The sequence below is a fragment of the Homo sapiens genome, chromosome 9 (assembly GCF_000001405.40).
Source record: "Homo sapiens chromosome 9, GRCh38.p14 Primary Assembly".
Taxonomy (NCBI): domain Eukaryota; kingdom Metazoa; phylum Chordata; class Mammalia; order Primates; family Hominidae; genus Homo; species Homo sapiens.
Genome location: NC_000009.12, coordinates 130,504,868 through 130,532,758, shown reverse-complemented (window position 1 = coordinate 130,532,758; position 27,891 = coordinate 130,504,868). Strand labels below are relative to the sequence as shown.

General features: G+C 50.5%; 7 annotated features.

Moving 5' to 3' along the window:
• Window positions 4,733–5,233: an enhancer, noted in NCBI's record as "H3K4me1 hESC enhancer chr9:133402913-133403413 (GRCh37/hg19 assembly coordinates)". NCBI's record gives its function as "activates a minimal SCP1, AML or CMV promoter by ChIP-STARR-seq in primed H9 embryonic stem cells {active_cell/tissue: H9 hESC(primed)}" and the evidence as "EXISTENCE:reporter gene assay evidence [ECO:0000049][PMID:30033119]".
• Window positions 5,998–6,497: an enhancer, noted in NCBI's record as "H3K4me1 hESC enhancer chr9:133401649-133402148 (GRCh37/hg19 assembly coordinates)". NCBI's record gives its function as "activates a minimal SCP1, AML or CMV promoter by ChIP-STARR-seq in naive H9 embryonic stem cells {active_cell/tissue: H9 hESC(naive)}" and the evidence as "EXISTENCE:reporter gene assay evidence [ECO:0000049][PMID:30033119]".
• Window positions 6,498–6,999: an enhancer, noted in NCBI's record as "H3K4me1 hESC enhancer chr9:133401147-133401648 (GRCh37/hg19 assembly coordinates)". NCBI's record gives its function as "activates a minimal SCP1, AML or CMV promoter by ChIP-STARR-seq in naive H9 embryonic stem cells {active_cell/tissue: H9 hESC(naive)}" and the evidence as "EXISTENCE:reporter gene assay evidence [ECO:0000049][PMID:30033119]".
• Window positions 9,770–10,517: an enhancer, noted in NCBI's record as "OCT4-NANOG-H3K27ac-H3K4me1 hESC enhancer chr9:133397629-133398376 (GRCh37/hg19 assembly coordinates)". NCBI's record gives its function as "activates a minimal SCP1, AML or CMV promoter by ChIP-STARR-seq in naive and primed H9 embryonic stem cells {active_cell/tissue: H9 hESC(naive and primed)}" and the evidence as "EXISTENCE:reporter gene assay evidence [ECO:0000049][PMID:30033119]".
• Window positions 13,295–13,810: an enhancer, noted in NCBI's record as "H3K27ac-H3K4me1 hESC enhancer chr9:133394336-133394851 (GRCh37/hg19 assembly coordinates)". NCBI's record gives its function as "activates a minimal SCP1, AML or CMV promoter by ChIP-STARR-seq in naive H9 embryonic stem cells {active_cell/tissue: H9 hESC(naive)}" and the evidence as "EXISTENCE:reporter gene assay evidence [ECO:0000049][PMID:30033119]".
• Window positions 26,084–26,930: an enhancer, noted in NCBI's record as "NANOG-H3K27ac hESC enhancer chr9:133381216-133382062 (GRCh37/hg19 assembly coordinates)". NCBI's record gives its function as "activates a minimal SCP1, AML or CMV promoter by ChIP-STARR-seq in primed H9 embryonic stem cells {active_cell/tissue: H9 hESC(primed)}" and the evidence as "EXISTENCE:reporter gene assay evidence [ECO:0000049][PMID:30033119]".
• Window positions 27,114–27,613: an enhancer, noted in NCBI's record as "H3K27ac hESC enhancer chr9:133380533-133381032 (GRCh37/hg19 assembly coordinates)". NCBI's record gives its function as "activates a minimal SCP1, AML or CMV promoter by ChIP-STARR-seq in naive H9 embryonic stem cells {active_cell/tissue: H9 hESC(naive)}" and the evidence as "EXISTENCE:reporter gene assay evidence [ECO:0000049][PMID:30033119]".

Sequence of the window (27,891 nt, the reverse complement as noted above, 5' to 3'; positions counted from 1 at the left end):
CCTTTCCTCTGCCATCCCGCCTCTTTTCCCCCAGGGGGTCTTCAAGGATCTGGTCCCACACTGCACTCACAGCAGCTGCTCTCTGGAAAGCCTCAAGTCGTCTTGTCCTGAGTGTGTGCCCCCCAGGCCATAGTCAAAGACTTGCTTAGAAACCCAGCCTGAGGCTGGGCATGCTGGCTCATGCCTGTAATCCTACCACTTTGGTAGGCCAAGGTGGGCGGATTGCCTGAGCTCAGGCGTTTGAATCCAGACTGGCCAGCATAACAAAACCCTATCTCTACTAAAAATCCAAAAATTAGCCAGGTTTGGCACATGCCTATAGTCCCAGCTTCTTGGGAGGCTGAGGCAGGAGAATCGCCTGAACCTGGGAGGCGGAGGTTGCAGTGAGCTGGGATGGTGCCACTGCATTCCAGCCTGGGTGACAGAGCAAGACTCTGTCTCAAAAAAAAAAAAAAAAAAAAAAAAAAAAAAGATCCAGGTATGGTGGCTCACATCTGTAATCCTAGCACGTTAGGAGGCCGAGGTGGGTGGATCACCTGAGGTTGGGAGTTCGAGACCAGCTTGACTAGCATGGAGAAGCCCCGTCTTTATTAAAAATTACAAAATTAGCTGAATGTGGTGGCACATACCTGTAATCCCAGCTACTCGGGAGGCTGAGGCAGGAGAATTGCTTGTATCCTGGAGGTGGAGGTTACGGTGAGCCGAGATCGCGCCATTGCACTCCAGCCTGGGCAACAAGAGCGAAACTCTGTCTCAAAAAAAAAAAAAAAAAAAAGAAAGAAAGAAAGAAAGAAAGGAAAAAAAAAAAGAAACCCAGCCCTGGCATCATCCTTTCCTCCAGCCCTGCAGACCCTGCGGCCTCAGTAGCTCCGTGTCCTTATCTCTGCCTCCCAGCTCAGCAGGATGACTGCAGCTTGGATCCCTGCTCTCTGGTCTGTGGCTGGGAAATTGGCCCCAGGCAGAGATCTGGTGATTGTGGGGCTCACTTCATGGGTTTCCCTTCTCTCAGGGATTGTGGTCTTGCACAGTCTGAATCTATGGTCTTGCACCGAACAGAGTAGCCTCATAGATTCCATCAAGGGCTAGTTGTATACCCACTACTCCTCCGTGGCCTGTAGCAGATGTTTGCTATTAGCTTTATTTACTTATTTTTATAAAAATTTTTATTTTGGAATTATTTTTATTATTATTTGTTCTGTACAGACAGGGTCTCCCTCTGTTGACCAAGCTGGCCTTGAACTCCTGGCCTCAAGTGATCTTCCAACCTTGGCTCCTAAAGTGCTGGGATTACAGATGTGAGCCACCACGCCTGGGCCCAGAATAATTTTAGCTTTATAGAAAAGTTGCAAGGATAGTGCCGAGAGCCCCTGTATACTCATCATTCACTTTCTTCTACAGTTAACATCTTCTATAACCATGGCCCATTTGTCAAAACTAAGAAATTAACATGGGTGCAATATTACTAATTAAACTACAGACTTTGATTTCATCAGTTTTTTCATTAATGTCTTTGGATTGTCTAAAATCTGATCCAGAATCCCACGTGCTAGCAGCTCTATTTCAATAGCCAGAAACTGGGAGCAACCCAAATATCTGTCAACAGAAGTTGTGAAATAAATCGTGGTGCATTCCCATAATGAAATATGATGCAGGCCGGGCGCGGCGGCTCATGCCTGTGATCCCAGCACTTTGGGAGGCCTAGGCGGGCGGGTCATTTGAGATCAGGAGTTTGAGACTAGCCTGGTCAACATGGTAAAACCCCATCTTTACCAAAAATACAAAAATTAGCCGGGCATGGTGGCTGTGCCTGTAATCCCAGATACTCAGGAGGCTGAGGCAGAAGAATCGCTTGAACCCGGGAGGCAGAGGTTGCAGTGAGCTGAGATCGCACCACAGCACTCCAGCCTGGGTGACAGAGCGAGACTCCATCTCAAAAAAAAAAAAAGAAAAAAGAAAAAAGATAAAAGGAGTCTGACACAATTAATTAATGAATTCGTAAGTTTTTAGTAAATGATTAATTTTTAATTGGGGTTGAAGAGGTTAGAATTGTCATTACCATTTGTGGCAGACAGACCCTAAAGTGACCCCTGTAATTTTTGTTTAAAAGAATGGAGTCTTGCTATGTTGCCCAGGCTGGTCTTGAACTCCTGGGCTCAAGAGATCCTCCCGCCTCAGCCTCCCAAGTAGCTAGGACTGTAGGCATGAGCCACCATCCCTGGCTGACTCCCACTGATTTTTAACCTTTGGTATGTACACTCTTTGTAACCCCTCCTTTTGACTGTGGGTGGGACTAGGGATGTGCTTTTGGCTGAGATGATAAAGCTGAAGGAGTTTTGCAGGTGTAATTTAGATCTCAAGGCAGTTCATTTTGAGTTCATTGAAAGGGTTAGGCTGGACTTAATTAGGTAAAACCTTAAGTCTGGGCCCAGTGGCTCACGCCTGTAATCCCAGCACTTTGGGAGGCTGAGGTGGGTGAATCACTTGAGTCCAGGAGTTTGAGACCAGCCTGGACAACATGGCGAAACCCCATCTCTACCAAAATACAAAAATTAGTCTGGCGTGGTGGTGCATGCCTGTAATCCCAGCTACTTGGGAGGCTGAGGTGGGAGGATCCCTTGAGCCCTGGAGACTAAGATTGCAGTGAGCTGAGATCACGCCACTGCACTCCAGCCTGGGTGACAGAGCGAGACTCCATCTCAAAGAAAATGAAACAAACAAAAAAAGCTGAAGAGAGACTTGCAGAAGCAAGCTTCTATGGTGTGAACTGCCTTAGAGATGGCCACGTGGCACCAGGGGGCCACTGGCTGACAGCCAGCCAGAAAACAGGGAGCTCAGTTCTACTGGTGCAAGGAACTGAATTCTGCCGACCAATGCAAGACCTTGGAAGACGACCTGAGCTCTGAAAGAAGATGCAGCCCGGCTGACACCTTGACTGCATTTCAACAGCTGATCCATGTGCATGCCAAGGTTGGGAGTGCTGGTGTTTAGAACCTCCCGGAGTGAAATGAGAAGTGGGGAGTGTGCGTATGTGCGTGTGTGTGTCTGTTGACTGCAGCCTGATGAGACCCTGAAGACAAGACCCATTCAACTGTGCCCAGACTCCCGAGCCACAGCCACTGTGAGATGATCAACGTGTGTTGTTTGAAGCAATAGGTAGCTAATGCACCACCACAGCCATAGTGACTGGGAGCGGCATGGAACACTCCTGAGGTGCAGTTCAGATTTGTGCAGTTGACTATATGTAACTTACACCCAGGCTAAAGTGATCCTTCCACTTCAGCCTCCTAAGTAACTGGGACTACAGGTGCATGCCACCACACCTGGATAATTTTTAAATTTTTTGTAGAGATGGGGTCTCGCCATTTGCCCAGGTTAGTCTCAAACTTCTGGGCTCAAGTGATCCCCCCGCCTCAGCCTCCCAAAGTGCTGGGATTACAGGTGTGAGCCACTGTGCCAGCTCATATGTCTTTATTTGAAGAGACCTCGCTCCTCATCTCCAGTCCTGCATCTCATCCTGCTGGTTTCCTTCCCAGGGCTTTTCATCACATGTAATCTTCTTACATTTTTGTTTGCTTGTAACTTTTTGTTTGCTTATTAGTTTGTTTTCTGTCTCATCCTCTAGAGCAGTGTTGTACAACAGAAATGTAAGCCTCATAATTGAAAGTTTTCTAGTAGCTGCATTAAAAAAAAAAGAAATACGTGAATTTGTTTAATGCAATATATTCACAGTATGATCATGTCGGCATGTAGTGAATATTTTTAAAATTGAGATATTTTACATTCTTTTGCTTGCACTGTTTTTTGAGACAGGGTCTTGCTCTGTTACCCAGGCTGGAGTGCAGTGGCAGTGTGATCATAGCTCACTGCAGCCTCGACCTCCTGGGCTCACGTGATCCTCTCACCTCAGCCTCCCGAGTAGCTGGGAGTACAGGCCGGGCTGATGTTTGTATTTTTGTAGAGGCAGAGTTTTGCCATGTTGCTCAGGCTGGTCTGAAACTTCTGAGCTTAGGAAATCCTCCTGCCTCGGCCTCCCAAAGTGTTGGGATTACTGGTGTGAGCCACTGCGCCTGGCCAGTTTGCACTGTCTTTGAAATCCAGTGTGTATTTAACACTCACAGCGCATCTCAATGGGGACCGGCCACAGTTCACGCGCTCACACGTGGTGGGGCTACTGTTCCGGACAGCACAGCTTGAGACCGTAAGCTGTGGGGTGGTGGGGCGCATGGGGCTGAGGTCTCGCCCATTTTGCTCGCTGCTCTACCCCAGCGCTCAGCTCAGTGCTTAGCATGTCTCTGATGCTCAATAAATATGCAGTGAAGGAATGGGAGGTGAATGAAGTTACTTCAGATACTTTTTGGACATCTGGAGGGTATCTTTTTTTTCCTCCCTTCCATTCTACCTTCCTTTTTACCTAACTCCCTTCCCACCTTCCCTCCTCATCTCAGGCCCTTTCTTTAGGGTAAAGATCTTAACACACACATGCACACTCGCCCCTTCTCATTTCACTCCGGGAGGTTCTAAACACCAGCACTCTCAGCCTTGGCGCGCGCATGTATCAGCTGTTAAAATGCAGACTGTGGTCAGTAGGTCTGGAGCAAAGGGGCCCAGATTCTGCCTTTCTAGTGAGCTCCCAGGGGCCCCTGTGGGTCTATGGCCCCTGCTTGAAGGCGGGAGGCTGTAGAGCCGCCTGCTCTTCCTGCTGGCTCAGGCTAGGGGTAGAGGGTCACACGAGGACCGAGGAGAATTTGGAAGCAGAGCCCTCCTGCTCTTGTTAACCTTCCTCCCTAAATATGGGCTACTGTGCTTTCTGGGGAGCAAGGGGGTCCCAGCATGGGGTGGCTTGCTGCCTCTGGCCTCTGCCCTCGTTGGGATGTTGTGACTCAGGCAGGACACTCTGTTGAAGGTGGAGTTTCTGCCCCACACAGAGTCAAAGGCAGGAAGTCCCACCTTGGAGGCACACTGGGTCCACTGGTCCTGCCCAGAGGCTGTGGGACAGCCAAGCTTGGCCTTCCAGGGACCTATGATACCCCCAATACCACGACTGCCCCACCAGACTGGCTGGCCACTGCCACCTTCGCCCACAGGAGAAGGCCGAAGCTGAGCAGGGAGAGTTCCCCCTGGGGAAACTGGAGGCTTCCTTGAACTTACTCTGTGACCTTGAGAAGCCCCCCAGCCTCAGTTTCCCCATCCGAATTCTAGGGGCTGGTCTCAGCAATCCCAGCTCCTGCCTGAGACAGTCGGCGAGCCCAGCGAGGTCCTGGGGCCGTGCGTGTGCACGGAGGCTGACTCCGCGGCTGTCCGGGTGGGATTTCTGGCGGCAGGGGTGTCTCCCTCCTGTCCCAACTGGCCCACATGGGGCTGTTTTTCACAGCACCATTGATCCGGCTAAACCAGGGAGATGCATTACATCTCCTCCGGAGGTCAGGGGTTGGGCAGCCCAGCTGGTAAATCGCCCGCTGGCTGTGTTTTAAGGCCCTGCCCTGTGTTTTGGCTCCTTGGACCTTGGGAGAAACTGCTGAAGTTTGATATGGCTCTGGGGGCCCATGGGGGCAAAGGGCGTCAGGCAAGGGAGGGACAAATAGATCGATGGGAAACTGCCATGACCTCATGACCTCGGAGATGGCTTCAAACTGTGTCTTAACATGCCCTGGTAAATCTGAGGGTGGACCTGCCTCCCCTGGGGACAGTGGGGACAGTGAGGACGGGGCGGGAGGAGGCAGTGAAGGGCATGCCAGGGAAGTGAGAGACCACGGTCTGAGCGGCTGGATTCTTAGCGTTCGCCAGCTGCAGCCAGGCTGGGTTTGATCTGCTCTCCCTTGTCGTCATGTAGCGGGGGCACCGCACTTTACAGTGTGCACCGTACGCGCTGCATGTTCTGTCCTTGCGGGTGCAGACTTTGATGGTGGGGAAGACTGGGCTCAGCCTGGGCCCAGGTGGCCCGGTTTGCAGGTGGCAGAGCTTTTGAGGGACTGCAAATGGGTCAGTCTAGCTGAGGGACAAAATCCAAAGGGAGTCCAGACAGGTGGGGACAGGGCTCCAGAGGTGGCCAGGGACCAGCGTCACACTTTAAAGAGCCCCAGGAAGCTTTCAGCTCAGGCAAGAGAGGGAGGAATAACATGCAATTGTGTTCCAGAAAGCTCACATGGCTTCAGTGCGGGGCCAGAAGGGAAGCTGGTTTGGTTGCGATGATTCCTCACGGGCCCCCACCATCTTCCTAGGCACTTGCCCGCAGGGCCCGGAGTCACAGATCTGGGTTCGAATCCCATCTCTGCCCCTGACTTGCAAGTGACTTCTCTCTGAGCTCTGGTTTCCCAGCCTGTGTCTCTATGAGTGTTAGACGTTTGGCTGAGACGAGCTCAGGCGCAGCGCCTGGGGCCGAGCCGTCAACGCGGCCACTGTCACCATCCCACTTCCCCTCGGCCAGGCAGCCTCAGTCTCCCTCCCGATGCCACAGCCCTCCTGGGGTCTGCAGGAAGTAAAGTCTGTACACCTGCCCAGTCCCTGGTGCCCAACCCAGATGGGCTGAGGGCACACAGTGTGGAGGCAACCAGCCATTTCTTCCTTCACCTTTACCCTCTTTCCTGGAGTTGGGGGGCAAGATCCAGGGGGCGCCTCACTGTCCTCCCAGTGGCATTAACTCCTTGCTGGGCCTCTTGTGACCCCTGGGGTGAGGCACATCCAGAGGCTGGTGGCTGCAGATTCCAGCCTGGTCGTGACTATGACTGGCCCTTCATCAGGGTGTGCCCTTCTCTATGGGCCTCAGTCTCCCCATTTGTGCAATGATTGGCATTTCCCAAATACAACAGGCATGACTGGTGGCCCAAAAGATGATTTGGGCTGAACATTGCACCCGCTGTGATAAATGTATCCTCTTTCTCTTTTTTTTTTTTTGAGACAGGGTTTCACTCTTCTTGCCCAGGCTGGAGTGCAATGGCACGATCTCAGCTCACTGCAACCTCCGCCTCCTGGGTTCAAGCAATTCTCCTGCCTCAGCCTCCTGAGTTGCTGGGACTACACCCACCACCATGCCCGGCTAATATTTTATATTTTTAGTAGAGAAGGGGTTTCACCATGTTGGCCAGGCTGGTCTCGAACGCCTGACCTCAGGTGATCCACCCACCTCGGCTTCCCAAATTACTGGGATTACAGGTATGAGCCACTGCGCCCGGCCTAAACGTATCCTCCTTTTCGTTCTCTTCCATTCCATCCCACAAATTCTCACTGCATCAGAGAGACTTGGGCTGGTGTCACTTGGTTTAGTGCCTCTTGGATACTGGCTAGACTCACTTCTTTCTTTATGTTTGAACATTTAAAAATTTAAATTGTGGCAAAATATGCATAACATAAAATTTACCTTAACCATCTTTCAGTGTACAGTTCAGTCATGTTAGTAAACTACCTTTTTATTTTTTGAGAGACGCTCGCTCTGTCACCCAGGCTGGAGTACAGTGGTGAGAACACAGCTCACTGCAGCCTCAACCTTCTGTGCTCAAGCGATCCTCCCACCTAAGCCTCCTGAGTACCTGGTACTGCAGGTGTGTGCCACCACGCCTGGCTCATTTTTTAATTTTTTTTTTTTTTTAGATGGAGTCTTGCTCTGTTGCCCAGGCTAGAGTGCAATGGAACAATCTCAGCTCACTGCAACCTCTGCCTCCCTGTTTCTAGTGATCCTCCTGCCTCAGCCTCCTAAGTAGCTGGGACTACAGTTGCACGCCACCATGTCTGGCTAAGTTTTTTGTTTGTTTGTTTGTTTGTTTGTTTTTTACTTTTCGTAGAGACGGGGTTTTGCCACGTTGGCCGGTCTGGTTTTGGACTCCTAACCTCAGGTGATCTGCCTGCCTCTCAAAGTGCTGCGATTACAGGCGTGAGCCACTGCACCTAGCCTAATTTTTAAGTTTTCTTGTAGAGGTGATGGCTGGGGTTCCTCCCACGTCTTACATCCAGGATGTCCACAGCCAGGACAGAGCTGACGTGGGGCTTCTGGACACAGCATTGGCAGATGGGTGGACCCAGCCAAGCTGGGAGGCACAAGGTTCAAGGCCTGGGCTCTGGCATCAGACGTTCCTGGGTTTGAATCCTGGCTGGGCCTCTCGTGTGGCTTTGGGCAGGTGGTTTAGTCTCTCTGGGCCTCTGTACCTGTCCCTGTAAAATGGGGCTGCTGCTCCTTGCCACAGAGGGTCATTGTGGATGGTAGAGGTAATCTCCATAGAGGCACTTGGAATACATCATTGTTGCCATTATCCACATTAACCAGGGCTAAGCAGGGTGGCAGAAACCCGGCTGAGAGGTACCATCTTCCACGCACCCAGGAAGAGGTGGCTCAGAAATATCAGCCTTTCTGGCCTTTCTTCTTTCTGCTTCTCATTCTCTCCAGTTGGCCCAGTGATGGCTTAGGGCATCGATCTTTCCTGAAGCTCCTTTTCATTTGGAAAGGTACCGTCCTTGACAAACCGTTCCCACCCTCCCAAAGCTTCCCAGGACCAGAGAAAGGGAACGGGAAGCAGGCCCCGGGAGGTCCGATTACAAGCAGCGCTGCCTTACCTGCCTCCTTCTCCCCTGAGGCAGGGGCTGCACAAAGGGCCGTGTCACTGACCACTGCGATCAAGTGACCAGATTGCGGGGGAGGGGATGGGGCGCAGGGGAGCCTGTGTAGTCCTCTTGTCTTCCTCTGGGGCCGGGCTGATTCCCCAGGGCACCCTTTTGTCCTTGGCTCTCTCTGTGTCTGCAGCCCCAGGAGTCAGGGCTGCGGCTGCTGCCTGGCCCCATGTGCCAGTCCCGGCCACTCACTTCCCAGCAGTCTGGCCTGGGATGCAGATAAAGCCTCCTTTCAGAGCTCAGAGTAGGGGGCCTGGGGAGGAGCGTGGGGGTCCTTGGGGCTGCCAGACAAAGCCGCCTTGTTGAGAGGGCTCGGAAGGAGTGGGGACCCCAATCCCTGGTGAGCAGCTTCCCCTCAGGGGCTCACCAGGGTGCACAGGGTCAGCTGCTCCCAGGAGCGGGGCCATGAACCTCACTGAGCCCCAGGCCTACGAGGTTAGGGAGGGTGGGGCTGAGGGGCCTGGGATCTCTGACAGCAGGACTCCTGGGTCCTGGAGTTCCCTGGCTGCCATTTGACCTGGCTTTTCTCGATCACTTCAGGCACCCACGGCTTCCCAGTGCTCTTAGAATCAACCGCATGCCCATGCCCTGCCCGCCTCTCTAGCCCCTTATTCTTCTCTCTCTCCTGAGCCAACTCTCAACTCCTTTTGGTTCCTTGACCCTCTGGCCTTTGCACATGCTGTTCCTTCTGCCTGGAATGCCCTTCCCTGCACTTTTCACATGGCTGCTCTCGCTCTCCCTCCTGGGAGGACCCCTGACTCCCCTCTCCAGATGCTCCCTCCCCCAGCACACCCAGGAGCTGGTTTGTTTCCTTCATCTCCATATCCCCAGCACCTCGAATAGTGCTGAACACAAAGGGCAAGTGTAATCAACAATTTCTGAATGAATCAGATGTCCTTGTCCCTCCAAGGTGGGGTCAAGCCCCTTCCCAAGTCACATAGTGACTGGGAGGAGCGGCCAGGATTGTAGCCCTTGGTACTTCGTCCCAGAGCTTTTCTAGGGCCGCATCATCTCACCCACAGCTGTAGAGTGTTGCCCTCCGCCACTCCCATCCAGAGGAAGGGGAAGGGGGCATTGTACTCCTACTTCCATCTCGCCACGCACAGCCCCCCTACTCCATCCTACCATTGGCGCCCAAGGGCGGGGGCTGCCTCCATGGAGGCGAATGAGGCGGGAGCTGGGCCTGCGAGCAGATTAACAGAGACATAAATAAGTGATTGCAGCTGGGCACAGTGGCTCACGCCTCTAATCCCAGCCCTTTGGGAGGCTGAGGCGGGAGGATCACTTGAGCTCAGAGAGTTTGAGACCAGCCTGGGCAACATGGTAAAACTTCATCTCTACCAAAAATAAAACAAACCAGTCATGCGTGGTGGTGCACACAGGTCATCCCAGCTACTGGGGAGGCTGAGGTGGGAGGATGGCTTGAGCCCAGGAGGCTGAGGCTGCAGTGAGCCTGAGCCATCATCACACCAGGGATAAACAGCTGGGCGGGGGGGCAGCATCCACACAGCAGATTCCCCAACCTTAGGCAGGAGTCAGGTCAGCTGGGATCCCAGATGGAAAGGCCTCTTGTTTCACAGCTGCTTCATTACCATCTTAACTGAGTGGCTGGCTGTGTCCTTGCAAGCCCTGTGGGGGTGGGGGTTGTGTCATGATTAGTAACAACTGGTGCCTGCCACCACTCCAGGGTCAGGGTGTGGGGGAGGGGCTGGAGGAGGAAGCCAGTGCATGGGAGATTTGGTTTGACTCTGTGTCCCTACCCAAATCTCATCTCGATTTGTGGACATAGTGGGAGGTGATTGGATAGGGGAGTGGTTTCCCCCATGCTGTTCATGTGATAGTGAGTTCTCACGAGATTTAATGGTTTGAAAATGTGTGGGAAGTCCCCCTTCTCTCCCTCACTCCTGCCACCACGTAAGACGCGCCTTTCTTCCTCTTTGCCTTCTGCCGTGATTGTAAGTTTCCTGAGGCCTCCCTAGCCATGCAGAACTGTGAGTCAATTAAATCTCTTTTCTTTATAAATTACCCGGTCTCAGGTACTTCTTTATAACAGTGTGAAAACAGACTAATACAATGGGGTCAGGGCAGAATGGTGATAATCAGTAGCAATAGGACAAAAGTTCTCATTTGTGGAACAGTTACCTGGTGTCTGCCCTGTTTTAAGATCTTTATGTGCATAATATATTCCTCAAGACAACCCTGTAAGATAAGTACTATTACTGGGCCCATTTTACAGATGAGGAAACTGAGACTCAGAGATGGAGTAATCGGCACGCTCCGGTTCTGCCTGAGTTCCAACTGGGGCTTGTGACCACTTGGCTCCCCAGAATACCTGTGGCTCTGCAGGGAGCCCTCAGAGGCTGTGGCAACTGTGATCGTCTTTTCTGGGGAGGCTGGTGAATGTGGGCTTATGGGTGGGGGAGGCCCGAGTGGGCAGCATCTGCACAGTTGGTCCTGGCTAAACACGCAGATACTCAACCCACCCAGATCCTAGGAACCACCCTGGAGCCTGGTCATCAGGCATCAGCTTCTGTGCATGCCATTGGCCTCCATCTCTCCAGGCCTGTGTTCTTCAAATTTCAGTGAGCATCAGAATCACTCAGGCAGCTTGCGAAACAGGTGGATTCCTAGGCCCCAGACTCAGAGAGGTTCCAGATTTAAGAATCTGCCCATTTATCAAGAAACACCCACTTCTAGCGCACACCGCTCCGCCATTTCAAAAGTCACAAAGGAAAACAGCCCAGAGTCCTTTTTGTATCGGCATGCCCAAGCCCATCTAGAACTCTGAGATGTGAGCTGGAACTACTTGTCTCAAATTCCTTTTTTTTTTTTTTTTTTTTTTTGAGACAGAGTCTTGCTCTGTCACCCAGGCTAGAGTGCGGTGGCGCCATCTCGGCTCACTGCCAGCTCCACCTCCCGGGTTCACGCCATTCTCCTGCCTCAGCCTCCCGAGTAGCTGAGACTACAGGCGCCCGCCACCATGTCCGGCTAATTTTTTGTATTTTTAGTAGAGACGGGGTTTCACCATGTTAGCCAGGATGGTCTCGATCTCCTGACCTCGTGATCCACCCGCCTCGGCCTCCCAAAGTGCTGGGATTACAGGGGTGAGCCACCGTGCCCGGCCCACTTGTCTCAAATTCTATGGCCTGCCCCGCTCCCAGCCCTCCCATGGGGTCTTACCAGCAGGGTCCCACCCCTCCCGCCCCTGGAAGCCTCACAGAGGAGAATACCGGAGGGGCTTTCAAAATTGCACAAATTCTACAAAGGACATTTGAAAAGAAAGGGAACCTACCTTCTTCAGGGGTCATTGAGTTCAAGCCTTTTGTTTTACATTTGGAGAAAGCTGGGTCCAGAAATGTTCCGAGCCCTGCCCAAGGTTCTGGCCTGAGGAGCCCTCTGCAAGCTCATGGCAGAGTCAGTTCAGTCACTTCCCATGACACCAAGCTGCTTGGGGTAACAGGTGTTTGGAATTCCACCACGAGAGGGTCAGTGCTTACTGCTAACTGCTGGGAGGGCTCCGTAAAGGAGCAGCACATGAAGCCGTTGAAATAAAAGGCTTCTAGCTGGGCATGGTGGTGTACACCTGTAGTCCCGGCTACTTGGGAGGCTGAGGCAGGAGGATCATTTGAGTCTGGGAGTTCGAAGCTGCAGTGATCTATGATTGTGCCACGTGCTCCAGCCTGAGTGACAGATTGACAACCTGTCTCAAAATGAAATAAAAAATAAAGGACTTTGTGCTAGCTGGGCTGATGAGTCCCTGGGGCCTGGCATACAGCAGCTGCTCAGTTAATATTTACTGAAATTTGTAATGAGCATCATTCACAGCAGTGGGCAGCAGGGCACACAGTCTGCCAGGATCCGTGGCCTCTGGGACAAGGAGACCAGATCTGGAGTCCCACTCTCCAGGGGAGGAGGCTGGTTCCCTTTCTCCTCACCCCCTTATGTGGAGACCTCAGTTTTACTGATCCAAGATCAGATAGATGACAAAATGAGTAAAGCTGGCTGAGTGTGAGACATTAGGGAGTGGTGAGGACTGTAGCCAGTGTATCGATGGCATTTGAATTCTGGTTTTTTCAAGAAGCATTGAGCCGACCAATAGAAACCCTGGCATACCTAAGGGCCAAGTTAGGCCCCTGGCCGTGGGTTAGTCATAGTCAGTGTTCTGTGTGATGCTGGCTGGGGAGTCTGGAGACTAGCGTTTCATCCTGGCCCTCTTCCAGTTGAGTCCATGGGCTTGGGCGTCACTGGCCTTGGTGTCCCCACCTGTGCTCGGAAGGACTGGGTCGGGATCAGCTCTGAGGCTTTGTGCCAGGAAGGTGCCAGGAAGACTGGGATGGACACCAGCGTGACACCAGGCTGCTCTGGCTTTAAACTTGCCTCAATTTGATAGGTCACCGGATGTGGGCTTAAAAAAAAAAGAAAAACAACTGCCTCGATAGCCCCATCAGCGGTGGCAGTGACAGCAGTGAGCGGCTGAGCGGAGCCTGCTGGCGCGTGGGCCACCTGCAGAGCCCTCCACAGCCGGGAAGATTAGTCTCTTCCACTAGACAACACCCATTACCATGTTCCAATAGCCATCACTTCCGCTAGGAGAGCTGCAGATGAGATATGGATTGCACTGACCCCAGACGAGCCCTTTCCCCAGCCTGAGAGGCGTGCAGATCAGCTCAGCACCCGGCTTACGGCCCGTGGCTCCTGGCTCCAGGCAGCCAAGGCCCTCTGGCCTCCTCCATGCAGCCAGGAGCTTCTGGATCCAGGTGGCGCTGACAGCAGCCCCACCAGGTGGGCTGGTTTGGGCTGGCATCCTGAGGTTCGGAGCAGGCTGAGGCCTGGGCTCTGAGCCTGTATTCCCCAGGCTCTTTGATTTCCAGATCGGAGACGGGGAGGAGGTGTTTCAGGAAGTGGCAGCAAAAGTATGAAGATGGAAAGGAAGCCGCGTCTGGCTGGGTCTGCATTGAGCTTCAAGAGGACATGCCTGGCTGGGTTGTGGGGAGTAGAGAGGAGGCTGTCTCGGACTGGGGATGGCCTGATGCCAGCACTTGGCACTCGAGAGGACAGTGGAAGCTTTGGGGCCAGGAGGCGACAGGATCTTAACACCCCCTTTGTCCTCTTGTGCTTTAGGCCTCCTTCCCAGGCACCCCTGCCTGCTGGCAGCTCCTAGGTCGTCTGTGGCTCCCTCTAATCAGACAAATTTAGATAAAGGACTATTACACACAAAAAGTAAAATGGTATTATAAATGCATTTCTTTTTTTTTTTTTTTTTGAGACAAGGTCTCACACTTTCCCCCAGGCTGAGGTGCAGTGGCACAATCTGGGTTCACGGCAGCTTCGACCTCCTAGGCTCAAGCCATCCTCCTACCTCAGCCTCCTGAGTAGCTGAGACCACAGGCATGCATCACCACACCAGGCTAGTGTGTGTGTGTGTGTGTGTGTGTGTGTGTGTGTGTTTTCTGTAGAGATGGGGTTTCGCCATGTCTTCCAGGCTAGTCTCAATCAATCCTCCCACCTAGGCCTCCCAAAGTGCTGGGATTACGGGTGAGCTACCTCACCCGGCCTATAAATATATTTCTTAAGGAGAATAAATGGGGACAAATGTAAGCCATTTTTTCAGCTTCCAGAGTTAGTACCTCCTCACTCTTCCACTTGGGTAGGAAACTGGATTTTCTGGGAGTGTTGATAGCTGCTGGAGTTGGATAGGGAGTTCTCCATGAGCAGATGGGGCCTGATCCAAGTTTGTGTGTGTGTTTTCCGTAGAGTTGGGGTTTTGCCATCTCAAGCACAGCACTCGGCCTGGGCCCTCCCTGGCATTGTGTGGAACATGCTGGAAGGACAGGGAGCTGGGCATTTACCCCAGCTCCCACCACTGCCCACCTCTACTTCTTGTTGTCAAAGAAAGCCCTTGGCAGGAAATGGGGCATCCAGACCTCTGCACCCACCTCCCTTGGTGGAGACAATTCCCTTGCACTTCTGGGCTGCATGTGTCTCAGAGCAAATTTCTTGGGTGCTGGGGAAAGGTGTCAGGCAGAAAAGAAGTGAGCTGCAGGTGTTCTCAAGTGTGCCCAGGACTTCCTTTTCTTCGGGTATGGCAAGATGGCAGACAAGGAGACAACTGCCCAGAAGGAATTGATTACTCACAGTTTCTAGAGGAGGGACCCCACACCCCATGGGGAGGCACCAGGGTGGGTCAGGTGGTGGCAGGAGTGAGGGCAGAGCCTAGTCCAAAGCCTTCACTGTGGTTCCTGCGGGAAGGAATGGGCAAGGGAGGCTAGGTGCGTTTCAGCGAGTTTGGGATGGCTAGTTTGAGAATTCTGGCAGGCTCTGGGCTGTAGGGGTGGCCTCTAGTTGTCTGGGAAATGGCCCTGGATTGATTTCGGGCAGGGGAACAACTGGCTTGGGGTGTGAGAGTTTAGAGGAAGGAGATGCTTGGGTACATAGGCTCTGTATTTGTTTGTACATGAAAGGCAGGTTTGCAGGCATGTTGTTTGCTAGCTCTAGGAATTAGCCAGCCTCGGGAGGAGCAGTCTCTCCAGGATTAGCAAGGCCCTAGGATGTGAAAGCATCATAAAATACAGGAAATAACAAACATGATAAGTACAAGAGGGGCTAGAGGGAGGACGCTGTCAGCATGCTGGAAACTTTCTACTATAGCCACTGGTGAACTTCGGGGCAGAGGGGAGAGGGTGGGTACCAACAGCATCTGAATTCACCTCGACTCTGGCTATCGGGAACTGCTCCCTCCTCACCTCCCCTCCCCAACCCTGGGTATTTACTGAGACCTGACTGAATACTGGTTCTAGCACAAAACCACACACGGCATGTATTCCCCTTGACATTCACAAGTAAGGTGAGCACTAATGTTATCCTGGTTTTATAGCCGAGGACATGGAGGCCGGTCAGACGCTAAGGAAGTCACTCTGAGTCATGGGTTAGGAAGTGACAGAGCCATGATTCGAACCCAGGTCTGTGCTGCCTCACCTGAAAAATGGGTTGCTCATTCCACCTCCTCTCCTCTCTGTGATGGTTGTAAGGCTCCAACGGCATAAGTGAGGAGGAGACAGCGCCTTCTGAGCTGTCAACCCCGTGTACACGTCAAGGCAGGTTTTTAATTTTTCTTTTTTTATTTTTATTTTTATTTTATTTTATTTTATTTTCCGAGACAGAGTCTTGCTCTGTCACCCAGGCTAGAGTGCAGTGGCGGGATCTCGGCTCACTGCAACCTCTGCCTCCTGGGTTCAAGCAATTCTCCTGCCTCATCCTCCTGAGTAGCTGGGATTACACGCATGTGCCACCACGCCCAGCTAATTTTTGTATTTTTAGTAGGGATGGGGTTTCACCATGTTGGCCAGGCTGGTCTCAAACTCCTGACCTCGTGATCTGGCCGCCTCAGCCTCCCAAAGTGCTGGGATTACAGGTGTGAGCCACCACGCCTGGCTTATTTATTTATTTATGTATTTATTTATGTATTTATGTATTTATTTATTTAGAGGAGTCTCGCTCTTGTTGCAAGGCTGGAGTGCAGCAGCACAATCTCGGCTCACTGCAACCTCCGCCTCCTGGGTTCAAGGAATTCTTCTGCCTCAGCCTCCCAAGTAGCTGGGATTACAGGCATGCACCACCACGCCTGGCTAATTTTTGTATTTTTACAAACATTACAAATTTTAGAGATGGGGTTTCACCATGTTGGCCGGGCTGGTCTCGAACTCCTGACCTCAGGTGATCCACCTGCCTCAGCCTCCCTAAATGCTGGGGTTACAGGTGTGAGCCACTGTGCCTGGCCAGATGTTTTTATTTTTTGAGACAGGGTTTCACTCTGTTGCCTAGGCTAAAGTGCAGTGGCACAATCATGGCTCACTGCAGCCTGGACCTCCCAGGCTCAAATGATCCTCCTGCCTCAGCCTCCTGAGTAGCTGGGACCACAGGTGTGTGCCCCCACGGCTGGCTAATTTTGTATTTTTGGAAGACACGGGGTTTCACTATGTTGCCCAGTCTGGTCTTGGACTCCTGGGCTTAAGCGATTCACCCACCTTGGCCTCCCAAAGTACTGGGATTACAGGTGTGAGCCTGGCAAGATCAGGCAGTATTTATTTATTTATTTAGAGACAGATTCTCACTCTGTCGCCCAGGCTGGAGTGCAGTGGCATGATCTTGGCTCATGGCAACCTCTGCCTCCTGAGTTCAAGTGATTCTCTTGCCTTAGCCTCCGGAGTAGCTGGGATTACAGGCACCTGCCACCACGCCCGGCTAATTTTTGTATTTTTAGTAGAGACAGGGTTTCGCCATGTTGGCCAGGGTGGTCTCAAACTCCTGACGTCAGGTGATCTGCCTACCTCGGCCTCCCAAAGTACTGGGATTACAGGTGTGAGCCACCACACCCAGCCAGTCAGGCAGTTATTTGTCTTGACCAGCTTCCTTAATGCTGTGGAAAGCCCTGTGGAATAGTGACCGAGATCAGGCTCCCGTTCCTGATGGCCCACTGTGGGCCTCCTGGAACCTCCAATAGCCCTGGAAGGAAGGGCCATTACGATCCTATCCTACAGATGGAGAAACTGAGGTTCAAGGAGGTAAAGTCCTAGCCCAAGCTCTCACCATGAAAGAGGAAGGAACCAGGATTTAATATGTGTAACCTAAGTCTGGTCCCTGAGCTGGGGCTCTCCCCTTTCACTCTACACCCCACGTCACCTTCCTTAAAGGCCAAAGTGCCTGTCCAGCATCCTGCCCCTCCCCTCATCCCAGCTGCCTTGCCCACAGTTGCCTTGAGGATCCTCGGCTCCACTCTGCCCAGATGCCTCCTCTCCTCCCCCTTCTGCTCCAGCCCTGCACTTTGCTAGCCCAAGCTCTTCTCAATGCCTTTCTTTAACATTGGCCATCTTTCTCCCGCTTATATTAAAAAATTATTTATTTATGTTTTTGGCTGGGTAGGGTGGCTCACCCCTGTAATCCCAGGACTTTGGGAGGCCAAGGTGGGGGGATTGCTTGAGCCCAGGAGTTTGAGACCAACCTGGGCAACATAATGAAAACCCATCTCTACTAAAAAAAAAAAAAAAAGTTAGCTGGGTATGGTGACACACACCTGTAGTCCCCGCTACTCAGGAGGCTGAGATGGGAGAATCACTTGAGCCCGGGAGCAGGAGGCTTCAGTGAGCTGTGATGGTACCACTGGACTCCAGCCTGGGTGATAGAGTGAGACCCTGTCTCAAAAATATACATATATTTATTTTTAACAGATCTATTTATCTATTTATTTGAGAGGGGATCTTTGTCTGTCACTAAGGCAGGGGGGCAGTGGTGTGATCGCCACAGCCTTAATCTCCTGGGCTCAAGCAAACCTCCCATCTCAGCCTCCTCGACAGGGACTACAGTTGTGCATCACCACATCCAGGTAATTTTTTTTTCTTTTCTTTTCTTTTTTTTGAGATGGAGTCTTCCTCTGTTGCCCAGGCTGGAGTATAGTGGCACGACCTCGGCTCACTGCAACATCTGCCTCCCTGGTTCAAGTGATTCTTTTGCTTCAGCCTCCCAAGTAGCTGGGATTACAGGTGCGTGCCACCACACCCGGCTAATTTTTGTAACTTTTAGTACAGACAGGGTTTCACCATGTTGGCTAGGTTGGTCTTGAACTCCTGACCTCAAGTGATCCGCCTGCCTTGGCCTCCCAAACTGCTGGGATTACAGGCGTGAGTCACCATACCTGGCTTTCTTTTTTTTTTTGGCAGAGATGAGTGTGCACTATGTTGCCCAGGCTGGTCTTAAACTCCTGGTCTCAAGTGATCCTGCCGCCTCTACCTTGCAAAGCGCTGGGACTGCAGAAGTGAGCCATTGAGCCTTGCTTTTAACAGCTTTATTGATGTGTAACTTACACATCATACAAAATAGGCCAATTTTAAGTGTACAATTCAAGTTGGTTCTGGAGCCTATCAACAATGTGGAAAATTAATTCTTTTATTATGTTAAATGAAACAAATGCGCAGAGGCCAGGCGTGGTGGCTCACACCTGTAATCCCAGCACTTTGGGAGGCTGAGGCAGGTGGATCACGAGGCCAGCAGTTTGAGACCAGCCTGACCAACATGGTGAAACCCCGTCTCTACTAAAAATACAAAAATTAGCCAGGTGTGGTGGCATGTGCCTGTAATCCCTGCTACATGGGAGGCTGAGGCGGGAGAATCGCTTGAACCTGGGAGGTGGAGGTTGCAGTGAGCCGAGATCGCGCTGCTGCACCCCAGCCTGGGTGACAGAGCAAGACTCTGTCTCAAAAAAAAAAAAACCCGAAAAACAAAAAACCAAATGCACAGGTACACAATGTAAACAGACTACCTGACATGCCTGTAAACGAATGTGCATATGAAAGAATGACTGGCAGGAAATGCATCTGAATATTAACCAAAACATTTTGATAAAGATGTTGGAATCAGAAATAAAAAATTTTTTCTGGGCCAGGCATGGTGGCTCACACCTGTAATCCCAGCACTTTGGGAGGCTGAGGCTGGTGGATCATTTGAGGCCAGGAGTTTGAGACCATCCTGGGCAATATGGCAAAACCTGTCTCTGCTAAAAATACAAAAATTAGCCGGGCATGTTGGTGTGCGCTTGTAATCCCAACTACTCAGGTGGCTGAGGCACAACAATTGCTTGAAACCGGGAGGTGGAGGTTGCAGTGAGCCAGGATAATGCCACTGCACTCCAGCCTGGGCAACAGAGTGAGATTCTGTTTCAAAAAACAAAACAAAACAAAAAATGTAATTATTTTTCTGAGTCTTTAATTTTTCAATATTATTCTATTTGGACACTCTGAGAAAGACTAAATAAGGTTTTATTTTAATTATTATTTTATTTTTATTTCCATAGTTTTTGGGGTGCAGGATTATTGCTTACATGGGTAAGTTGTTGCATCATAAACAACCACTAAACTATGGTTGTGAGATAGCAACAATCCTATTTACACCCTAGTATTGATCTGTGTTTCTAGATTGACTTGAGGACTAAGGACATTCCTAGAAAAGATTTTCAATGTTGGGAGTGACCTGGGTTCAGACATACCCAGTCTTCAGTGGCAGTCTGGGGGCAACTCCGTGGAAGCCTTATAGCCAGGGGGTAGGAGGATCGAGGGTCTACCAAAGACAGAATTTACTCTGAGAGAAGGCAGAGTCAGTCCTAATAAGCTAATCCCCGCAATAGGATATGAGAGCTGGAGGACAAGTGGTTCTGGTGACAGCTGGAGGCTGTTTGTTGAAACTATCACCAATCAAGATCATTTGGCTACACTGGCATGCCCAGGTGGAGAGGGGCTGCATACATGAAGAGCTAAGAGTTCTAACATCTCCGTGTCCAAGCAAACCTACCATAGCTTCCCTGAGGTGGTGGTTTCCTACCCACTTCTCAGTGGAGCTGGGGTCATTTGTGTTGACAGCAGGGGCAACAGCATGTCAAGAGTGTAGGCAGTGACTGGAGAGGAGTGACAGGAGGGACAAAGAAGTGAATGAGGGCAGGCCCTGGGCTGTGGCATGAGGACTGGATTGGAATAGCTTCTGAATACCTAGGCACCATTTTATGGGCTCCTGGAGCAGGGGAGGAAGTATGTATTCCTGACGCTCCTCAAGTGGGGTTCTGAGCCCACTCGAGGATGAATATTCAACTCATTCAACAAATATTAATTGAATACCTGTTATGGACCAGGCGTGGTTTTAGCATCTGGTACACAGCTGCAAATAAGGCAGACATGGTCTCTGCCCACATGGAGCTTCCTATCTAGTGGGAGAGATACTCAACAATGTCCAGCATTCAATAAAAAAATTACTAGATACACAAAGCAAACCAGTGCATATGTTTGGTGGTGGTATGTGCTGTGGAGAAGAGGGAGGCAGGATAAAGGTATAGTCAGTGCCATATTTGGGCTGTAATGAGTGAGTCTTGTGGCTATTTGGTGGAAGATGTTCCAGGCGGAGCTTGGATTGTTTGAAGACAGTGGGCAGAGGTGAGAGGGAGCAGGAGGGAGGAGAGGACGGACAGTAGGTGGGGGCCAGATCATGAAAGTGCTGGTAGGCCATAATAAATGCATCAATTATCTGTGTTGCTGCATCATAAACAACCAGAAAACTTAGTGTCTACATTGGATGCAATGTACACTGTTCAGGTAATGGTACACTCAAATCTCATAAATCACCGCTAAAGAACTTATCCATGTAAGCAATAATCCTGTACCCCAAAAACTATTGAAATAAAAACAAAATAATAATAATCAAAATAAAACTTATTTATTCTTTCTCACGAGCCTATAGGTGAGCTGCCTAGGCAGTTCTTTTGCTAGTCTCATGTGGGATGATTCAGGCAGCTGCTGTCAGGCTTGTCTGCGGAGGGCAGTTCCCGTGTAGTCTCACTTTCATGGCTGGTAGTTGGTGCTGGCTGTAGTAAGCACTTTGGGTTTTATGTTGAGTGAGATGGGAGCCAGTGAGGGGTGGAATGTCAGTTAGGATGAGAAACTACATGATTCATGTTAGCAAGATATTAAGTGTGATCTCAGGCCAGGCTGGCCTATAGGCATTTAGATTATATTATTGTTATATTGAAAAACATTAGGCCAGGTGCAGTGGCTCACGCCTGTAATCCCAGCACTTTGAGAGGCCAAGATGTGGGGATCGCTTGAGCACAGGAGTTTAAGACCAGCCTGGGCAACATGGCAGGTGGATCACTTGAGGCCAGGAGTTTGAGGCCATCTGGGCAATATGGCAAAACCTGTCTCTGCTAAAAATACAAAAATTAGCCGGGCATGGTGGTGTGTGCTTGTAATCCCAGCTACTCAGGTGGCTGAGGCACAAGAATTGCTTGAACCTGGGAGATGGAGGTTGCAGTGAGCCGTTTTTCATGTCTCTATGAAAAATACAAAACGTAGCTGGGTGTAATGGTGCATGCCTGCAGTCCCAGCTACTTAGGAGGCTGAGGTGGGGGGATGACTTGAGCCCTGGATTTTGAGGTTTCAGTGAGCTGCGATCACAGTGCACTCTAGCCTGAGTAACAGAGCAAGACTCTGTCTCAGAAAAAAAAAAAATCCACTTTCATTTCTGTCCACAAAGGACTGAGGCAGTCCAGAATTATACTCCCACTGTAAACAACAGATAATTGTACAAAACACAAGGAACAACTATTTTCAGACATTCAACAACAGGTAGTACAGGGCTGTGATTCCTGAGAAAAGGGAAACTAACAGGGCAAGCCCTATCATCACCTAGCTTTCTGCTTGGAGGTAATTCCAAAACTGCAAAATAGGGAGGAGACAGAGTCCGGTGATCATGCCAAGCTGAGAAGACAGATGGGGTTTGGGGAAGCCAACACAGCTGAAATCTGTGGGACTCACAACCAGCACGGAGGGCACTACAGGAGAAAGGCCTCCAGCAATCTGTGAAGTGTCCATTTGAGTCTTTGGTGGATGCCAATCTCCTCATGTATAGAGAAAAACCCCATGAGACCAGACAAGAGCAACTTTTTTTTTCCCCCGAGATGGAGTCTTGCTCTGTCGCCCAGGCTGGAGTGCAGTGGCACGATCTTGGCTCACTGCAACCTCCACCTCCCAGGTTCAAGCAACTCTTCTGCATCAGCTTCCCAAGAAGCTGGAATTATAGGAACGCACCACCATGCCTGGCTAATTTTTGTATTTTTAGTGGAGACGGGGTTACATCATGTTGGCCAGCCTGGTCTCAAACTCCTGACCTCGTGATCTGCCCGCCTCAGCCTCCCAAAGTGCTGGGATTACAGGTGTGAGCCACCGTGCCCAGCCAAGAGCAGCTTTTGAGGGAAAAAAAATTACTAAGAATCTCATACAGGACTGAGAATTATTTTGAGTTTCCCCCAGCCAGAGTAGACAGACTTCACTGAATATAAGAATCATTAAGCAGAAAACCTAGAAAGGGCCAGGGCCAGGCATGGTGGTTCATGCCTGTAATCTCAACACTTTGGGAGGCCTAGGCAGGTGGATCACTTGAGGTCAGGAAAATTATAAAAAAACTTTCTGCTAATAAAATTGAAAACCTAGATGAAATGGTTAAATCCCTCAAAAGATACAAATTACCAAAGTTGATCCAAGAGGAAATAGACAACTTAAATAGCCTTACATAAATCAAAGAAACTGAATATTTTATTTTATTTTATTTTATTTGAGACAGAGTCTGCACTGGCAGAATCTCAACTTGCTGCAACCTCAGTCTCCCAAGTAGCTGAGATTGCAGGCGTGCACCACCACACTTGGCTAATTTTTGTATTTTTAGTGGAGATAGGGTTTTGCCATGTTGGCCAGGCTGGTCTTGAGCACCTGGACTCAAGTGATCTGCCCGCCTTGGCCTCCCAAAGTGTTGGAATTACAGGCGTGAGCCACTGCACCTGGCCAAATTTATTTTTTAAAAGCCTAAGGCTGGGCACAGTGGCTCACGCCTGTAATCCCGGCACTTTGGGAGGCTGTGGTGGGTGGATCACCTGAGGCCAGGAGTTTGAGACCAGCCTGGCCAACATGGTGAAACCCCACCTCTACTAAAAGTACAAAAAATTAGCTGGGCATGGTGGCAGATGCCTGTAATCCCAGCTACTTGGCAGGTTGAGGCAGGAGAATCACTTGAACCCAGGAGGCAGAGGTTGCACTGAGCCAAGATCATGCCATTGCACTCCAGACTGGGAGACAAGAGCAAGACTCCGTCTCAAGAAAAGAAATAAATAAATAAAAATAAAAAAATAAAAGCCTCACACACATAAAAATTTCCAGGCTCAGATGGCTTCACTGGTGAATTCTTTTTTCTTTTTCTTTTTGTTCCCTTGCAGAGATAGGGGTCTTGCTATGTTGCCCAGGATTGTCTTGAACTCCTGGGCTCAAGCAATCCTCCCACCTCAGCCTCCCAAAGTGCTGGGATTACAGACATGAGTCACCATGGCTGGCCTTCCACTGGTGAATTCTATGAAACGTTTATGAAAGAATATTACCAATCCTACAAAAAAGCTGTTTTAGAAAACAGGAGGTGGAGAGACATTTCTGAATGTATTTTTTGGGGGGCCACTCTCTCCCTGACACAAAAACCAAAGAACCACAAGAGAACTACAGATCCACATCCCACATGAATATAGACACAAAAAATCTCTGACAAAATTTTAGCAAACTAAATCCAGCAATACCAAATGGTATTTTTCCTGTGAATGTAAAATTGGTTTAACATTCAAAAATCAATTAATGTAATTCATTATATTAACAGAATACAGGAGAAAACATCTCAAAGGATGTTGAGAAACATTTGACAAAATTCAACTCCCAATTTTGAGAGAGAGAGATATATACATATGCAAAAAAATTAACCACAATAATGAGTTCACACAAGATCTGGTTGTTTATTTTTAATTTTTTTGAGACAGAATCTTGCTCTTTTGCCCAGGCTGGAGTGCAATGGTGCGATCTCAACTCACTGCAACCTCTGCCTCCCGGGTTCAAGCGATTCTCGTGCCTCAGCCTCTGGAGTAGCTGGAATTACAGTTGTGCGCCACCACACCCGGCTAATTTTTGTATTTTTAGTAGAGACGGGGCTTCGTCATGTTGCCAGGCTGGTCTCTAACTCCTGACCTCAAGCACCTTGGCCTCCCAAAGTGCTGGGTTTACAGGTGTGAGCCACTGCGCCTGGGATCTTGTTGTTTAAAAAGGAGCCTGGAACCTCTCCCTCTCTCTCTTGCTCTCTCTCTTGCCATCTGATAAAACCTTCTGTATCCCCCTTCACCTTCTACCATAATTGGAAGCTTCCAGGAGTGATGATTGGAAGCCTCCTGAGGTCTCACCAGGAGCAGATCCCAGCACTATGCTTCCTGTAGAGCCTGCATAAACCAAAATAAACCCCTTTTCTTTATAAATAGTCTCAGGCATTCCTTTATAGCAATAGTAATGGAGTAACTCAGATGACAATGCTCTTCAAATGAATCTGTTGTTTTAATGCAATTCCAATGAAATCTTAGCAGACTTTTTGAAGAAGTGAATAATTTGTTTAAAAAATTTATATGGGGCCACGCACAGTGTCTCACGCCTATAATCCCAGCACTTTGGGAGGTGGTGGAGGCTGAGGTCAGGAGTTCAAGACCAGCCTGCCCAACATGGCAAAACCCCATCTCTACTAAAAGTACAAAAATTAGCCGGGCGTGGTGGGGGTCACCTGTAATCCCAGCTACTCAGGAGGCTGAGGCAGGAGAATCGCTTGAAGCCAGAAGGTGGAGGTTGCAGTGAGCTGAGATCGCACCACTGCACTCCAGTCTGGGCGACAAGAGTGAGACTCCATCTCAAAAAAAAAAAAAGTGTATATATATATATATATATATATATATACACACACACACACACACACACACACACACACATATATGGGCTGGGCAGGTGGCTCACGCCTGTAATCCCAGCACTTTGGGAGGCCGAGGTGAGTGGATCACTTGAGGTCAGGAGTTCGAGACCAGCCTGGCCAACGTGGTGAAACCCCGTCTCTATTAAAAATACAAAAATTAGCTGGATATGGTGGTGCACACCTGTAATCCCAGCTACTCAGGTGGCTGAGGCCGGAGAATTGGTTGAACCCAAAAGGCGGAGGCTGCAGTGAGGCAAGACGGCACCACTGCTGCACTCCAGCCTGGGTGACAGATGGAGACTGTCTCAAAAAAAAAAAAAAAAAGTATATGGAAAAGTAAAGGACTCAGAATAGCCAAAACAGTCTTAAAAGAATGAGGTTTAAGATTTACTATAGGCGCTTTTTTTTTTCCCTCTCCCTCTCCCTCTCCCTCTCCCTGTCCCTCTCCCTGTCCCTCTCCCTCTCCCCTCTTTCCACGGTCTCCCTCTGATGCCGAGCCGAAGCTGGACTGTACTGCTGCCATCTCGGCTCACTGCAACCTCCCTGCCTGATTCTCCTGCCTCAGCCTGCCTAGTGCCTGCAATTGCAGGCGCGCGCCGCCACGCCTGACTGGTTTTCGTATTTTTTTGGTGGAGACGGGGTTTCGCTGTGTTGGCCGGGCTGGTCTCCAGCTCCTAACCGCGAGTGATCCGCCAGCCTCGGCCTCCCGAGGTGCTGGGATTGCAGACGGAGTCTCCTTCACTCAGTGCTCAATGGTGCCCAGGCTGGAGTGCAGTGGCGTGATCTCGGCTCGCTACAACATCCACCTCCCAGCAGCCTGCCTTGGCCTCCCAAAGTGCCGAGAGTGCAGCCTCTGCCCCGCCGCCACCCCGTCTGGGAAGTGAGGAGCATCTCTGCCTGGCCGCCCATCGTCTGGGATGTGAGGAGCCCCTCTGCCTGGCTGCCCAGTCTGGAAAGTGAGGAGCGTCTCTGCCCAGCCGCCACCCCATCTAGGAAGTGAGGAGCGCCTCTTCCCGGCCGCCTTCCCATCTAGGAAGTGAGGAGCGTCTCTGCCCGGCCGCCCCGTCTAAGTGAGGAGACCCTCTGCCTGGCAACCGCCCTGTCTGAGAAGTGAGGAGCCCCTCCGCCCAGCAGCCGCCCCGTCTGAGAAGTGAGGAGCCCCTCCGCCCGGCAGCCACCCCGTCTGGGAAGTGAGGAGCGTCTCCGCCCGGCAGCCACCCCATCCGGGAGGGAGGTGGGGGGGTCAGCCCCCCGCCTGGCCAGCCGCCCCGTCCGGGAGGGAGGTGGGGGGGGGTCAGCCCCCCGCCCGGCCAGCCGCCCCATCCGGGAGGTGAGGGGCGCCTCTGCCCGGCCGCCCCTACTGGGAAGTGAGGAGCCCCTCTGCCCGGCCACGACCCCGTCTGGGAGGTGTACCCAACAGCTCATTGAGAACGGGCCATGATGACAATGGCAATTTTGTGGAATAGAAAGGGGGGAAACGTGGGGAAAAGATTGAGAAATCGGATGGTTGCCGTGTCTGTGTAGAAAGAGGTAGACATGGGAGACTTTTCATTTTGTTCTGTACTAAGAAAAATTCTTCTGCCTTGGGATCCTGTTGATCGGTGACCTTACCCCCAACCCTGTGCTCTCTGAAACATGTGCTGTGTCCACTTAGGGTTAAATGGATTAAGGGCGGTGCAAGATGTGCTTTGTTAAACAGACGCTTGAAGGCAGCATGCTCGTTAAGAGTCATCACCACTCCCTAATCTCAAGTACCCAGGGACACAAACACTGCGGAAGGCCGCAGGGTCCTCTGCCTAGGAAAACCAGAGACCTTTGTTCACTTGTTTATCTGCTGACCTTCCCTCCACTATTGTCCTGTGACCCTGCCAAATCCCCCTCTGCGAGAAACACCCAAGAATGATCAATAAATAAATAAATAAATAAATAAATCAGAAAAAAAAAAAAGATTTACTATAGGCTATAATAAGCAAGTCAGAGAGTTTTTGGCGTAAGGCTAGACACATACATTAATGAAGCAGAATTGAGAGTCCAGAAGTAGACCCATACCCATCAACTGATTGTTGTTGTTGTTGTTTTCTTGAGACGGAGTCTCGCTCTGTTGCCCAGGGTGGAGTGCAGTGGTGCGATCTTGGCTCACTGCAACCACTGCCTTCCGTGTTCAAGTGATTCTCATGCCTCAGCCTCCCAAGCAGCTGGGACTACAGGCTTGCGCCACCATGGCCGGCTAATTTTTATATTTTCAGCAGAGATGGGGTTTCACCATGTTGGCCAGGCTGGTCTCCAACTGTTGACCTCAGGTGATCTGCCTACGTTGGCCTCCCAAAGTGCTGGGATTACAGGGGTGAGCCACCATGCCTGGCCTAATCAATTGATTTTTGACAAAGATGCTAAGGTAATATAATAGGAAAAAGACTTTTTAAGAAACGGTGCTGGAACAGCAAAACATCAGTATTTTCAAAAAATAAACTTTGATCCTGAATCACAACCTACACAGTAATGAACTCGAAATGGAGCAAGGACCTACTTGTAAATGTTAATAAAATTTTTTCAAAGAAATAAAAGCTGGGCCTGGTGGGGTGGCTCATGCCTATAATCCCAGCACTTTGGGAGGCTGAGGTGGATGGGTCGTTTGAGGTCAGGAGTTTGATACCAGCCTGGCCAAATGGTGAAACTCCATCTCTACTAAAAAACACAAAAATTTGCCAGCGTGGTGGTGGGGGCCTGTAATCCCAGCTACTCGGGAGGCCGAGGCAGGAGAATCGCTTGAACCCAAGAGGCAGAGGTTGGGGTGAGCGGAAATCACGCCACTGCACACCAGCCTGGGTAACAGAGTGAGCTTCTGTCTCAAAAAACAAAAACAAAAACAAAAAAAACTGAAAGAATTAATCACTGCACTAGAAGAAATACTTTTAAAAGTTCTTCAACAGAAGGAAAATGATATATATAGAA